Source organism: Homo sapiens, chromosome 11 (genome assembly GCF_000001405.40).
Source record: "Homo sapiens chromosome 11, GRCh38.p14 Primary Assembly".
NCBI lineage: Eukaryota > Metazoa > Chordata > Mammalia > Primates > Hominidae > Homo > Homo sapiens.
This window is the reverse complement of record NC_000011.10, coordinates 63,699,200-63,712,390: the sequence shown is the minus strand read 5'-3', so window position 1 is coordinate 63,712,390 and position 13,191 is coordinate 63,699,200. Positions and strand designations below refer to the sequence as shown.

The following is a 13,191-nucleotide window of genomic DNA, read 5'->3' as shown; positions in this document are numbered from 1 at the left end:
TTAGAACTGCTGTGAGGATTAAATGAGTTAATACATGTTCACAGTAGTAGCTGCCACTTAGTAAATCCCCAATAAATGTCCCCAAACACCACATTCTCAAAAAACTCTCTTGACATAGAGACTCCAGACCACATGCCTTTTTACTAGGGAGAGAAAAGGCATATTGGCAAACTGTAACCACCTTCATCTGGTATATAATACAGAAAATCCTCATGTAGAGCTTTAGACACTTTCCCTCCTACCATTCACATATTAAGGAAGATAATTCAAAGAGCTTTTATCTACTTCAAAATCTTAGGTGATGCAACGTCTGAATACGTTGGTACAAACCAAATGCCTATGGCATCCTAAGAATTGTGCTAGGTTCTATGCAGATAAAGATGCTTGAGAGCCCAGCCTGGCATAGTGGCTCATGCCTGTAATGTCAACACTCTGGGAGGCCCAGGTGGGAGGATTGCTTGAGCCCAGGAGTTAGACGAGCCTGGGCAAAATAATGAGACAGATCCCTTCTCTATAAAAAATTGTAGGGCCCAGCGCGGTGGCTCACGCCTGTAATCCCAGCACTTTGGGATGCTGAGGCAGGTGGATCACCTGAGGTTGGGATCTCGAGACCAGCCTGACCAACATGGAGAAACCCTGTCTCTACTAAAAATACAAAACTAGCTGGGAGTAGTGGTGCATGCCTGTAATTCCAGCTACTCAGGAGGCTGAGGCAGGAGAATCACTTGAACCTGGGAGGCAGAGGTTGTGGTGAGCTGAGATCGCGCCATTGCATTCCAGCCTGGGCAACAAGAACGAAAACTCCGTCTCAAAAATAAAATTTTTTGTTTTAAATTAGCTTGGTGTGGTGGCACACGCCTGTGGTTCCAGCTACTCAGGAAGCTAAGGTGGGAGGATTGCTTGAGCCTGGAAAGTTGAGGCTGCAGTGAGCCCTAATTGACCCACTGCACTCCAGCCTGGGCAACAGAGTGAGACCCTGTCTCAAAAAAAAATAACAAAAAAAAAATAAAAAACCCAAAAAACAAAACCAAAAACCCCACAAGAGAACTTAACATATAAGAAATTCTAAGCCAACACTGAAAGATAAATAACTTTTCCTTTTTTTTTGAGACAGTCTCAGTCTCACTCTGTCGACCAGGCTGGAGTGCAGTGGCCTGATGTCAGCTCACTGCAACCTCCACCTCCCCGGTTCAAGTGATTCTCATGCCCCAGCCTCCTGAGTAGCTGGGACTAGAAGCGTGCACCACCATACCCAGCTAATTTTTGTATTTTTAGCGGAGATGGGGTTTTGCCATGTCAGCCAGGCTTGTCTCAAATTCCCGACCTCAAGTGATCCACCCGCCTCGGCCTCCCACAAGTGCTGGGATTACAGATGTGAGCCACCACACCCAGCCAGTAAATTTTCCTCAACAAAATGTTTCACAAATGATCTTTACCACCAGCAGGGTCAAAGCATATTTTAGTTCAATGTACAACCAGCTGAACAATTTAATAACCGAGCACAAAGACAGCCTTTGGCACAATTTTTCACAATCCCTCTCAAACTTAAGAGCAACTACTAGTTCTTCATGGGCTTTATCTCTGATTTACTGCCTCAGAACTTCCTAAGGAGGACAGAGCTCAGGAATCTGTATTACAAGTTTCCCAGGCAACGAAACTGGTTTCAGAACCACAGCCTTAATACATTTGGTATGTGTTGGAGAGCAGAAAGATAAGGGCCATACTTCAGAGCTCTAGTCCCATAAAAATCCCACAGGAGGAGCCACTGTCACGGCTTCTCCTCACATAGATGGGCTTGCACAACTTAAGAGTACCAAGGCATACAGCAGGAGCGGTCTTCCCGTGCCTACTTTAAACACTTCCATATACTAATTCTAAAGTACAGTAATTCTGCATTTTTATTGGAATAAGGAAAAAAACACATCTGACTAGAAAATCTGGTATGGGAATTGAGGAAGAAATTTCTCTCTTTTATGCCTAGAGTATTTTATCTTTCAGAGCAAGATGGGGAGTTTAAAGTAACATGATAAAAAAAAAAACAAAAAAACTACAATGTCTAAGACTGGGCACAGTGGTGCCCGCCTGTAGTCCCAGCTACTCAGGAGGCTGAGGCGGGAAGATTGCTTGAGTCCAGGAGTTTGAGATCATCCTGGGAAACACAGTGAGACCACATCTCTTAAAAAACAAAGAAACAACCAACAAAAAATACTTATGAGTAAATACATTTGAATTGAAAACCCTTCATATACTGTTTATTCTGCTTCTTTTTCCCCAAAGTGTCTCTTAGATAAAGATTTAGTACTCATCTATTCAAGTACGTATAACTTAATTACTAAAAACAAAATGTGATCTATAATTAAGGAATAAGGAATGTTATATCCTATATCAAAGAGTTCTTCCTAAAAAGAGTAAATAGTTTAAAACTAGGTTATAGTTACCATGTGATTAATTACCTGCTCACCTAAGAAATTCATTACTTTTTACTAAAAGGATATCTATAACATGGAATAACTATATACATCAGTGAAGAATGGGTGCCAGCCTGTAGTAGCCACTAACTTACTTTTTCATATCCATACTATGCATATTCATTTGAGGGAGGTTTGAAATATTCAGGTATAGGTTTTCCTACACTTGAATTTTCTCATGTTCACAAAACAAGACAAATTCGTGCAAAACAGTATCAACAACTTGCAGCCACAGCATCAAAATAGGAAGTTAGCCAGCAGACATTCTGCAGCCAAGCTAGATCCTAAACAAAACGTCTCTTTTGTACAAAGAAAAATGTTTTTCTTTTTTTTTTTTTAAAAAAAGGCTGTAACTGGCAAATTTATTTTTTCCTCAATGCTTGCCCCCAAAGTTCAGGGTTGTAACTTCCTATTCCAGATGCCTACTGCATTAGTCAAATTGAATGCAAGCATTCATTAATGCAATGCTTCCAATGCGGCATGGTGGATGGATCCTCTTTCCAATCTCATTTTCACCTACTTTTCTTCCAATGTTTTCTAAAGAAACAGTATTTTCTAGCTTCCACTCTCAAGGGTTTTGAAAAGTAAAACAAAATTTCAGTTTGATTTTGATTTTGTTGGAGGGAGCATATACCCCAGATGATACTAAATTATATCACTAATAGTGATAATATGGTCAAAACAATGGTATCTGCCTCTTCTGCTGTCATGATTTTAATATTAACTTCAAAATGCCATCTCTAAAAAGAAGTCTAAACCCTAAAATACAGCTAGTTTATTTGATCATCTTTATTATAGGTACAGCAGTTATGACCACGGCTTTGGCATCCTCCCTCTATCACTTACTTGCTGTGTTACCTTGAGCAAGTGATTTCACCATTTTCAAGTCATTTCAATTGGTAAAAGAGCTAGTCCCTTCCCTTCATAGAACTGCTTATGAAGATTAAATGAGATGATTCATGTGAAGTTTACTGGGCATAGTAAAAGTTCAATAAAAATTAGCCACATACTACATCTATACTTCTGTCAATATCTTTGTATGTTTTATGAAGTACAGGAAAACATCATTAAAATGTAATCCACTATTTTGAAACTCTCAGGGATTAGGCTGAAATATAATTGTTGCTTGATGGAAAAAGGAAACCATAAGCAAAAGACTGCAAGGACAAGGACTACTCAGGGGTACAACTTATTGAAGAAGGAACTGATTATTCCACTGACATTCTAACTAGAAATCTATTCATATCAGAAGTTTAACTTCCTAGCTTATGTAGCTGTATTCTCAAAGCAGTACAACTTAGTAAATATCACAAAATTTACTTTTAAAAACTTTAACTGCCTTTAACTCAGTCTGAATCAATGACATTTTTTATACATGCATCTACCTGAAACCCAATAATGATAAATATGTATTTCAGGATAAAAAAAAAGTCACTTAAATCTTAACATGTCCTATTTAGGCCAGGTATGGTGGCTCATGCCTGTAATCCCAGCACTTTGGGAAGCCAAGGTAGGAGGACCGCTTGTGCTCAGGAGTTCAGCCTGGGCAATCTAGTGAGACCTTGTCTCTATTTTTTTTTTAAGTCCTATTATTACTACATATTGCTTAATATGATTGGGGTATATAAAAATAGACACAATTTCCCTAAGGCTAGATAGCTAAGGTATATGAAGCCAAAGAAATTAGTTGGGTTAGTGTCAGTGACGGACTCAAAGTGCATGCAGGTGGCAGCAGTCACTTTCAAAGGCCTGTGTGGAAGTGGACTGTTCCCAGAGCCCTCATCTCCATTCAGGGTTTTAATACAGTTAACCAACTATGTATCAACAGCTTCCTCTTCCCTTATTTTTACTAAGGCAGACTGGAAGCTACCAGTCTTGGCTACCCTAGAAAACAACTAATCATCTGCCAAGGTGTTCCTTCAAACAACTGAACAGGCTAACCTCTAGACTGCCAATGACGTAGGGCCCCACTGGGCTACTTTTCCATCATGTGTTTTGTTTATTTGTTTGTTGCAGGAGAAAATGCTACTAATATAGGTTAAATGAAACCCATTCGAGGATAGGGCATTCTTTTGTTTTGTTTTTGAGACGGAGTTTTGCTCTTTCGCCCAAGCTGGAGTGCAATGAATAGCGTGATCTCGGCTCACTGCAACCTCTGTCCCCCGGGTTCAAGTGATTCTCCTGCCTCAGCCTCCCGAGTAGCTGGGATTACAGGTGCCTGCCACCACACCTGGCTAATTTTTGTATTTTTAGTAGAGACGGGATTTTGCCATGTTGGCTAGGCTGGTCTCGAACTCCTGACGTCAGGTGATCCGCCTGCCTCAGCCTCCTAAAGTGCTAGGATTACAGGTGTGAGCCACCGCGCACAGTCGGATAGGGCATTCTTAATTACCTTTCTACAATAAGACTATTCTCAATCTACATTGGTCAAAAAATTTTTTTTGTAGGCAAAAAGGAAGAATAAGTGTATGCTGTCTTGCAAATTCTAATACACACTGTGAAACTGAAGCCTATTAAAACATTCATTTTTAATTTAAATCATTTTTATTTACCTCCCTTCTACTTGAGTGTACATGTAAGTGTTGTTAACCAGGGATTAAAATAATTTTTAAAGCTATGACAGTTATCTTTTCAACGTTATACATTAGGTATGTAAGCCATGGGTTACACCGTTACACCGTTTAGAGTATCAACTATCCCTTTTCTATATGAAAAAAGTGACTTGGCCTGGCGACGTGACTCATGCCTGTAATGCCAGCACTTTGGGAGGCCAAGGCAGGCGAATCACTTGAGTTTAGGAGTTTGAGTCCAGCCTGGTCAACATGGTGAAACCCCGTTTCTACTAAAAATGCAAAAATTAGCTGGGCGTGGTGGTGCACGCCTGTAATCCCAGCTACTCAGGAGGCTGAGGCGAGAGAACTGCTTGAGCGATTCTTGGGTGGAGGTTGCACTGAGCTGAGATCACACCAATGCACTCCAGCCTGGGTGACAGAGTAAGACTCCATCTCAAAAAAAAAAAAAGAAAAAAGAAAAGAAAAAAAATAGTGACTTAAGGTTAGAACGTATTCTTAAAGATCTGAAATACTTACAAGAGAGGAAATAATTATTTGTTCTATTTATACCATATTTTTCTTCCACAGTAGAATAATTTAATACCTATTTGCTTAAATTATTTTCTCATGAGAAAAAAAAATCCTTAAAAATAAAAATATTGTCAAGTTCCAAATGTCAAGAACAATATAACTACTTCATACGTTTGAGTTACTTTCTAACATTAACAAAATTTCTATCTTTTAATGTAAACATGTTAATTTCAGAGGTCATTATTTGGCCCACAAGATACCCAAATTCACACAATGAGACACATTATAAAGGAATTGGGGGTTCTAATGTCATCAGTTTAAATTAAAACAAATTGTTGGCCAGGTGTGGTGGTGGCTCATGCTTATAATCCCAGCACTGTGGATGGCTAAGGTGGAAGGACTGGCTGAGCCAGACTGGCTGAGGAGTTCGAGACCAGCCTGGGCAACATAGCAAAATGTCTCTACGAAATAAAAATTAAAAAATTAGCAGGGCATGGTGGCATGTGCCTGTAGTCCCAGCTACTCAGAAAGCTGAGGTGGGGGGATCGCTTGAACCCAGGAGATTGAGGCTGCAGTGAACTATGAATTCAATGAAGTGCCATTGCCCTTCAGCCAGGGTGACAGAGTGAGACCCTATCTCAAAACAACAACAACAACAAATTAAAAAAAAAATTCCCTACCATGTTTCCTAAGAAGCAGATTTAACCAGGCAAAAGTTTTACTAATTTTTTTAAATCCCATTATGTTTTTATTCTTATAAAAGTCTTTTGCAGCTAGAGAACTCCACCTGTAACAACAAACTGTTTGCACAAGACTTCTTAAATCTATCAATCTGTCTAGTGATTTTAATTACTTTTTCCTCTTTTAAAATAAAGGTTCTCAATTGACATATATTTGGGTCTAGTAAAAACAGCACGAATGAAATAATACTTTATTATTAGTATAAATTGATGAAGCACATAGTACCCTCTCTTTCAGCTTCTTGGCAATGTTGCCTCCACAAACTGATTCCCTTCCCTACAGACTGACAGATTAAAAACAAAACAAAACAAAACAAAGCCACAACTCAATCTCTAGGACAAGAAGCCTTGCTTGCCAAAAGTCACATAACTGACTTGTTCAATGTTTGTAGGCAATTTGGAACTAGCCTAGCTTTTATGACGTGTCTCAGATAAATTCACATTAAAATACCCTAGCTAGGCTGGTATTTTTCTAGTTCAGTGGAAGCACACTTTTATACTGTTTTTCCAATCTGCTACCTCTGTAAACCAGTTTCATAGCTCCAAAACAATATATTAAATGCATTCTAGGGGTTGGGTGTTTCCTGAGCCACAATTTTGTTGCTGTTGGTGGTGATGGTGACACAGGGTCTTGCTCTCTCACCCAGCGGGGAGTGCAGTGGCACGATCATCGCTCACTGCAACCTCCAGCCCCTGGGCTCAAGCAATCCTCCCACCTCAGCCTCCTGAGTAGCTGGGACTACAGGCATGCACCACCTATGCCCGGATATTTTCTGTAGACACAGGGTTTCACCATGTTGCCCAGACTGGTCTCAAACTCATGAGTTCAAGTGATCTGCCCGCCTTTGCCTCCCAAAGTGCTGAGATTACAGGTGTGAGCAACTGCACCTGGCCTCTGAGCCACAATTCTATCTGCTCCAAATTCTGGTGGGCAAGTTTTTAATTTTAAAGAAATACTCAAAACTACTCCTGAAGTTTATGCTATGTTACAGGGTCCACCCAGCCTCATTTTACTTTATTAACCATTACACGAAACCCACTGGAAACTGCTAAATAGAAAGAATCAGCTTGTAATTAGTTTTTATTTTAGGGGATTTGGGGCAATAGAAGACTTGTGCCTCGTATCCCCAGTTACAGCCTCTTTCTCAACATTTTTCTTTTACCAATGCACACAAAAAAATTACAGACTTGCCTTGTGAGGTCGAAAATAGAGATACAGGCTGAGAGGAAGAGGAAGAAACAAAGGAATCTGAAAGAAAATATACAGCATGAGAATATGACAACCTCACACAGGAATTTTAACTTTAACTTTCTTTTTGATGGGGAGGAAGAGCCAAGCATCATAATTTCATTGGGTTTAACAAGGAGGAAAACTCAAATCTTTATTTCCAATTATTGTTTTCACTCACCTGGTAGCAAAACCTTATTTTATTTTCAAGATGCATTTCTAAAAGTTAATCCATTCATTTTTTTTTTTTTAGTCAAACATTCTCACCTTCAAAAAAAGAAAAGAGGAACCCCTAGCATTTTACATTAAGCACAACCTCAAGAACAGATGCTGCTGCTCTGCTACTCTGTGTGGGAAGGGGAAAATAAGTATCTGAATACTAATTAATATTTGCTTTTAACCATTCCTGGATGCATTTTGAGGAGGTAAGTCACTAATATAAGCATTTGAAAATATCTAATTGGCAAATATGCAAAGTTGACCCTAAATATTTTTTTAAAAATCACAATTAATCCATGGGGAAGACAGGACTACATGAGAAATCTATCTTCTAAAATTATACTCCTCTAGGCTGGGCATGGTGGCTCACATCTGTAATACCAGCACTTTGGGAAGCTGAGGCAGGTGGATCACCTGAGGTCAGGAGTTCGAAACCAGCCTGGCCAACATGGTGAAACCCCGTCTCTACTAAAAATACAAAAATTAGCCAGGCGTGGCAGTGCACGCCTGTAATCCCAGCTACTCAAGAAGCTGAGGCAGGAGAATCACTTGAACCCAGGAGGCAGAGTTTGCAGTGAGCCAAGATTGTGCCACTGCACTCCAGCCTGGGCAATAGAGTGAGACTCCTTCTCAAAAAAAAAATAAATTAATTAATTAAATAAAATTATACTCCTCTAATTCAGCAACATGTATCAAAATTTAAAATGCACATATTCTCCTCCCAGTCCCCCTGCACAATACTAACTCTACAGTTACACTTCTAAGAATATATACTATGGACATATTTGCATACATGTACAAAGATATGTGTTGCCAGGCGTGGTGGCTCATGCCTGTAATCCCAGCACTTTGGGAGGCTGAGGCAGGCGGATCACGAGGTCAGGAGATCAAGACCATCCTGGCTAACACGGTGAAACCCCGTCTCTATGAAAAATACAAAAAATTAGCCAGGCGTGGTGGCGGGCGCCTGTAGTCCCAGCTACTCGGGAGGCTGAGGCAGGAGAATGGCGTGAACCTGGGAGGTGGAGCTTGCAGTGAGCCGAGATCGCGCCACTGCACTCCAGCCTGGGAGACAGAGTGAGACGTCTCAAAAAAAAAAAAAAGAAAAAAAATATGTGTATGAAGATATTCATAAAAGCTCTGGTTATAAATATTAGGAATACTCTAAAGTTACACCTATCACTTGCTTTGGCAACACATATACTAAAACTGGAGGGATACACAGAAGACTAGCACGGCCCCTAAAGTTATTTTTTTTTAAAGTTACATGCAAACTATGAAACACTTGCTGCCATGAAAAAGAATGAGGTACAGCTATACCTTGGTATCTGAGGGGGATTGGTTCTAAAACCACCACCCCCCACCACCAAAATCTGAAGATGCTCAAGTCCTGTGTATAAAATGGCATAGTATTTGCATATAACCTACACACATCATCCCTTATACTTTAAGTATTCTTTAGACACCTAATACAACGTAAATGCTATGTAAATAGTTGTTACACTGTATTGTTTTTAAAAATTGTGTTTTTTTTTATTGTTGTTTTTTAAAAAAATATTTTTGGTCCACAATTGGTTGAATCCACAGATGTAGAACCTGAGATAAGGTAGGCTAAGTGTATACGTAGACATAGTCCATCTACGAATTAAACTCAAAAAGCAAAGTGCAGGCCAGGCGCAGTGGCTCACACCTGTAATCCCAGCACTTTGGGAGGCCGAGGCAGGCAGATCACGAGGTCAGGAGGTTGAGACCATCCTGGCTAACACGGTGAAACCCCGTCTCTACTAAAAATACAAAAAATTAGCTGGGCGTGGTGGCGGGCACCTGTAGTCCCAGCTACTCAGGAAGCTGAGGCAGGAGAATGGCGTGAACCCAGGAGGCGGAGTTTGCAGTGAGCCGAGATCACGCCATTGCACTCCAGCCTGGGCAACAGAGCAAGACTCCGTCTCAAAAAAAAAAACAAAAAAACAAAAAAACAAAAACAAAGTGCAGTGTGCTTAAAAAGCAGTGTGCTCCCATTTGTTAAGTAACAAAGGGACGGCCGGGCGCAGTGGCTCATGCCTGTAATCCCAGCACTTTGGGAGGTGGAGGCAGATGGATCATGAGGTCAGGAGTTCAAGACCAGCCTGGCCAACATGGTGAAACTCTGTCTCTACTAAAGATACAAAAAATTAGCCAGGCGTGGTGGCACGTGCCTGTAATCCCAGCTACTCCGAAGGCTGAGGCAGGAGAATCACTTGAACCCGGGTGGCAGAGGTTACAGTGAGCTGAGATCACGCCATTGCACTCCAGCCTGGGCGACAGGGCGAGACTCTGTCTCAAAAAAAAAACAAAAAAACAAAAAAACAAAAAAAACCAAAACCAAAAACACAAAAAAACCACACACTAAGAACATAAAATGACTTTTTCAATAAAAATGATGAAAAAAGAATAAAAAAGCCATGTGAAAAACAAAACCCTCCAAAATTGTCCCTAAATACTGAACTTTACATATTAACTCCCTTTTATCTTGCAATTATAAAAATATTTTCACAAATATTAGAAATATATTTAAGCTAGAAGATTGCTTTAAAGGACAGGGCTATAGCTATAAGTACTAATTCATGAAAACTATTTAGTTTCAAATATAAAGCTGCTTTTTAATTATATGAAAATGAAGTACCACATCTACTCCTACAAATTAAAAAATTGTCCTTTCCTTATTTATTTATTTTTGAGACAAAGTTTCACTCTGCTGCCCAGTGCACTGACATGATCACAGCTTACTGCATCCTTGACCTCCTGGGCTCAAGTGATCTTCCTGCCTCAGCCTCCCGAGTAGCACTGACTACAGGTGTGCACCACTACGCCCAGATAATTTTTTATTTTTTTCTGGAGACAGGTGTCGCCATGTTGCTTAGGCTGGTCTTGAACTCCTGGGCTCAAGCAGTCCTCCCACTCAGCCTCCCAAAGTGCTGCGATTACAAGCATGAGCCACCACACCCAGGTCTAAGTGATACTTTAATCAAGGGTAGCTCTCTTGCTCCTGTTTTTGCCATGTGACATGCCTGTGCCCCCTGTGTCTTCTGCATGATTGGAAGCTTCCTGAAGCCTCCCCAGAAACTGAGGAGCCTCCGGCACTTTGCTCCCTATAAAGCCTGTAGAACTGTTCACAAATAGAGAGAAATTTTACTCTCTGGCTCATACCCTGAGTTTCATTATACTTTATGTAGATGATTTAAATAAAATATGGGACTTTTTAGCTGATTAAATTTAGAAATTGAGATGTTAAAAGATATTCTAGAATGAGCTATCAAGACACAGAAAGACATGAAGGAACCTTAAATGCTTATTGGTCTGTGAAAGAAACCAGTATGAAAGGGCAACATACTGGCCCAGTCCAACTATATGACATTCTGGAAAAGAGCTGTACATTTGATATCAGGAAAAAAACAGAAACAACAAAATGATATCAATACTTCAAACAGCAAGGGTTTAGAAAGTATAAAAATTTGGAAGAGAAGTACTGTAAGAAACAAATTATATATGAGCACTAAAAGCTGAAAATTCTTTTTTTTTTTTTTTGAGAAGGAGTCTCGCTCTGTCACCAGGATGGAGGGCAGTGGCGCAATCTCGGATCACTGCAACCTCTGCCTCCTGGGTTCATGCGATTCTCCTGCCTCAGCCTCCCGAGTAGCTGGGACTACAGGCGCGCACCACCACACCTGGCTAATTTTTTGTATTTCAGTAGAGACAGGGTTTCACCATGTTGGCCAGGATGGTCTCGATGTCCTGACCTCGTGATCCGCACGCCTCAGCCTCCCAAAGTGCTGGGATTACAGGTGTGAGCCACCAAGCCTGGCCTGAAAATTCTTATCAGGATACACAGTGACCAATGAAGAAGATCAAATAAAAAATAACATTTCAATTAATCCTTTACTTCTCAGGAGGCTGAGGTGGAAGGACCATTTGAGCCTAGGAGAGGGCAGTTGCAGTGAGCTGAGATCATGCCACTGCACTCCAGCCTGGGTGACAAAGTGAGACTCCATCTCAAAAAAAAAAAAATAAAAAGGATGGGGGCAGGGAAACAGGTCAGGTGAGGTGGCTCACGCCTGTAATCCCCACACTTTGGGAGGCTGAGGCAGGTGGACCGCTTGCGCCCAGGAGCTCAAGACCAGCCTGGGCAACATGGTGAGATCCTGTCTCCACAAAAAATTAAAAAAAAAAAAAATTAGCTGGGTGTGGTGGCATGAGCCTATAGTCCCAGCTACTTGGAAGGCTGAGGTAAGAGGATTATTTGAGGCCAGGAAGCTGAGGCTGCAGTGAACCGTGATCACACCACTGTACTCCAGCCTGGGCAACAGAGTGAGACCTTACCTTAAAAAAAAAAAGTAAAAGAATCATGTTTTCCTATCTCTATGTTTCCAGATGGATCCATTTCTACATGCATTTACTATCAACATTAAATCTCTGCCAATGATGCGTTTAAATCCCAACAAACCTGAAAAACCAAATACTTCAAGCCCAATGCCAAAGAAGAGCCTATGAGCATGCCAGCTGTTTGCCTTTTCACCTTCACCTAACACCACTCCCTCCTAATGGAAAATTTCAACATGCAAATTGTTATGCAGATGCAGAACACAGATAACTGGTAATGGCTGGTACAATATTCCATGAGGTTTCTAACTTACAAAACCACATTGTATTCATATTCTGTATTTGTGTCACAGGGAACTGAACCCCAGAATGATCTTAATCCTCAAATGCCATTAATGAAACCATTTTCATTAAGTAGCGAAGTCCAGGACCTGTGTTAGTACTGGTAATACAGTGCCCACAAGTAGCTGAAAATCAAATATGCACCAGTAAAACTGTATGAGTTGTGGGAATGCAGCAGAGACAGCCACTATGGTAAATTAAGAATGTTTCAGAAGAGGTGGTAAGCTTGGTTTTAAAGATTTAAGTTCATGAGGTGAACAAGGAAGGGAAAGGCATTCTGGGGAGAAGGAACAATTGGCCAGATTCCAAATGGCTTTAAATGCCATGTAATCTGGATTATATCCTTTGTGTAATAAGGAATCACTGAAGGTTTTTAAGTAAGGGTGTGACAATATCACGTGTTTTAGAAAGAACTCTGGCAGCAGGGTAGAGCATGGACGGAACTGAAAAGCTACTGCATAATCTTGGCAAGAGATAAGGGCTCGCACTAAGGCAGTGAGGATGGGAATGAGAGGACTGCTGACAAGAGAGAAGACAGGTCTTGAGACCATCTGCCTGGATGTTAAAGACTGGAGAAGTAAAAGATCACTGAGGGACTAAATGAAATGCCATGGTTGGGAACACAGAAGGAATTCTTTTTTTTTTTTTTGAGAAGGAGTCTCAGCTCTGTCGCCCGCCCAGGCTGGAGTACAGTGGTGTGATTTCAGCTCACTGCAACCTCCGCCTCCCAGGTTCAAGTGATTCTCATGCCTCAG

The 13,191-nt window shown here is 40.8% G+C and overlaps 1 protein-coding gene across 13 annotated transcripts in view; it reads right to left on the bottom strand.

Moving 5' to 3' along the window:
• RTN3 (reticulon 3) overlaps positions 1 to 13,191 on the bottom strand; it is a 78,442-nt gene that overhangs the window by 47,501 nt on the left and 17,750 nt on the right. For 6 of the 13 annotated variants that reach the window (XM_011544730.3, NM_201429.2, XM_011544731.3 and 3 more), the window contains exon 2: positions 7,484 to 7,540. The exons of the other annotated variants lie outside the window; for them this stretch is intronic. In XM_011544730.3, the coding sequence (XP_011543032.1) occupies positions 7,484 to 7,540 (57 nt within the window). The remainder of the gene's footprint in view (positions 1 to 7,483; positions 7,541 to 13,191) is intronic. 13 annotated transcript variants of the gene reach the window in all.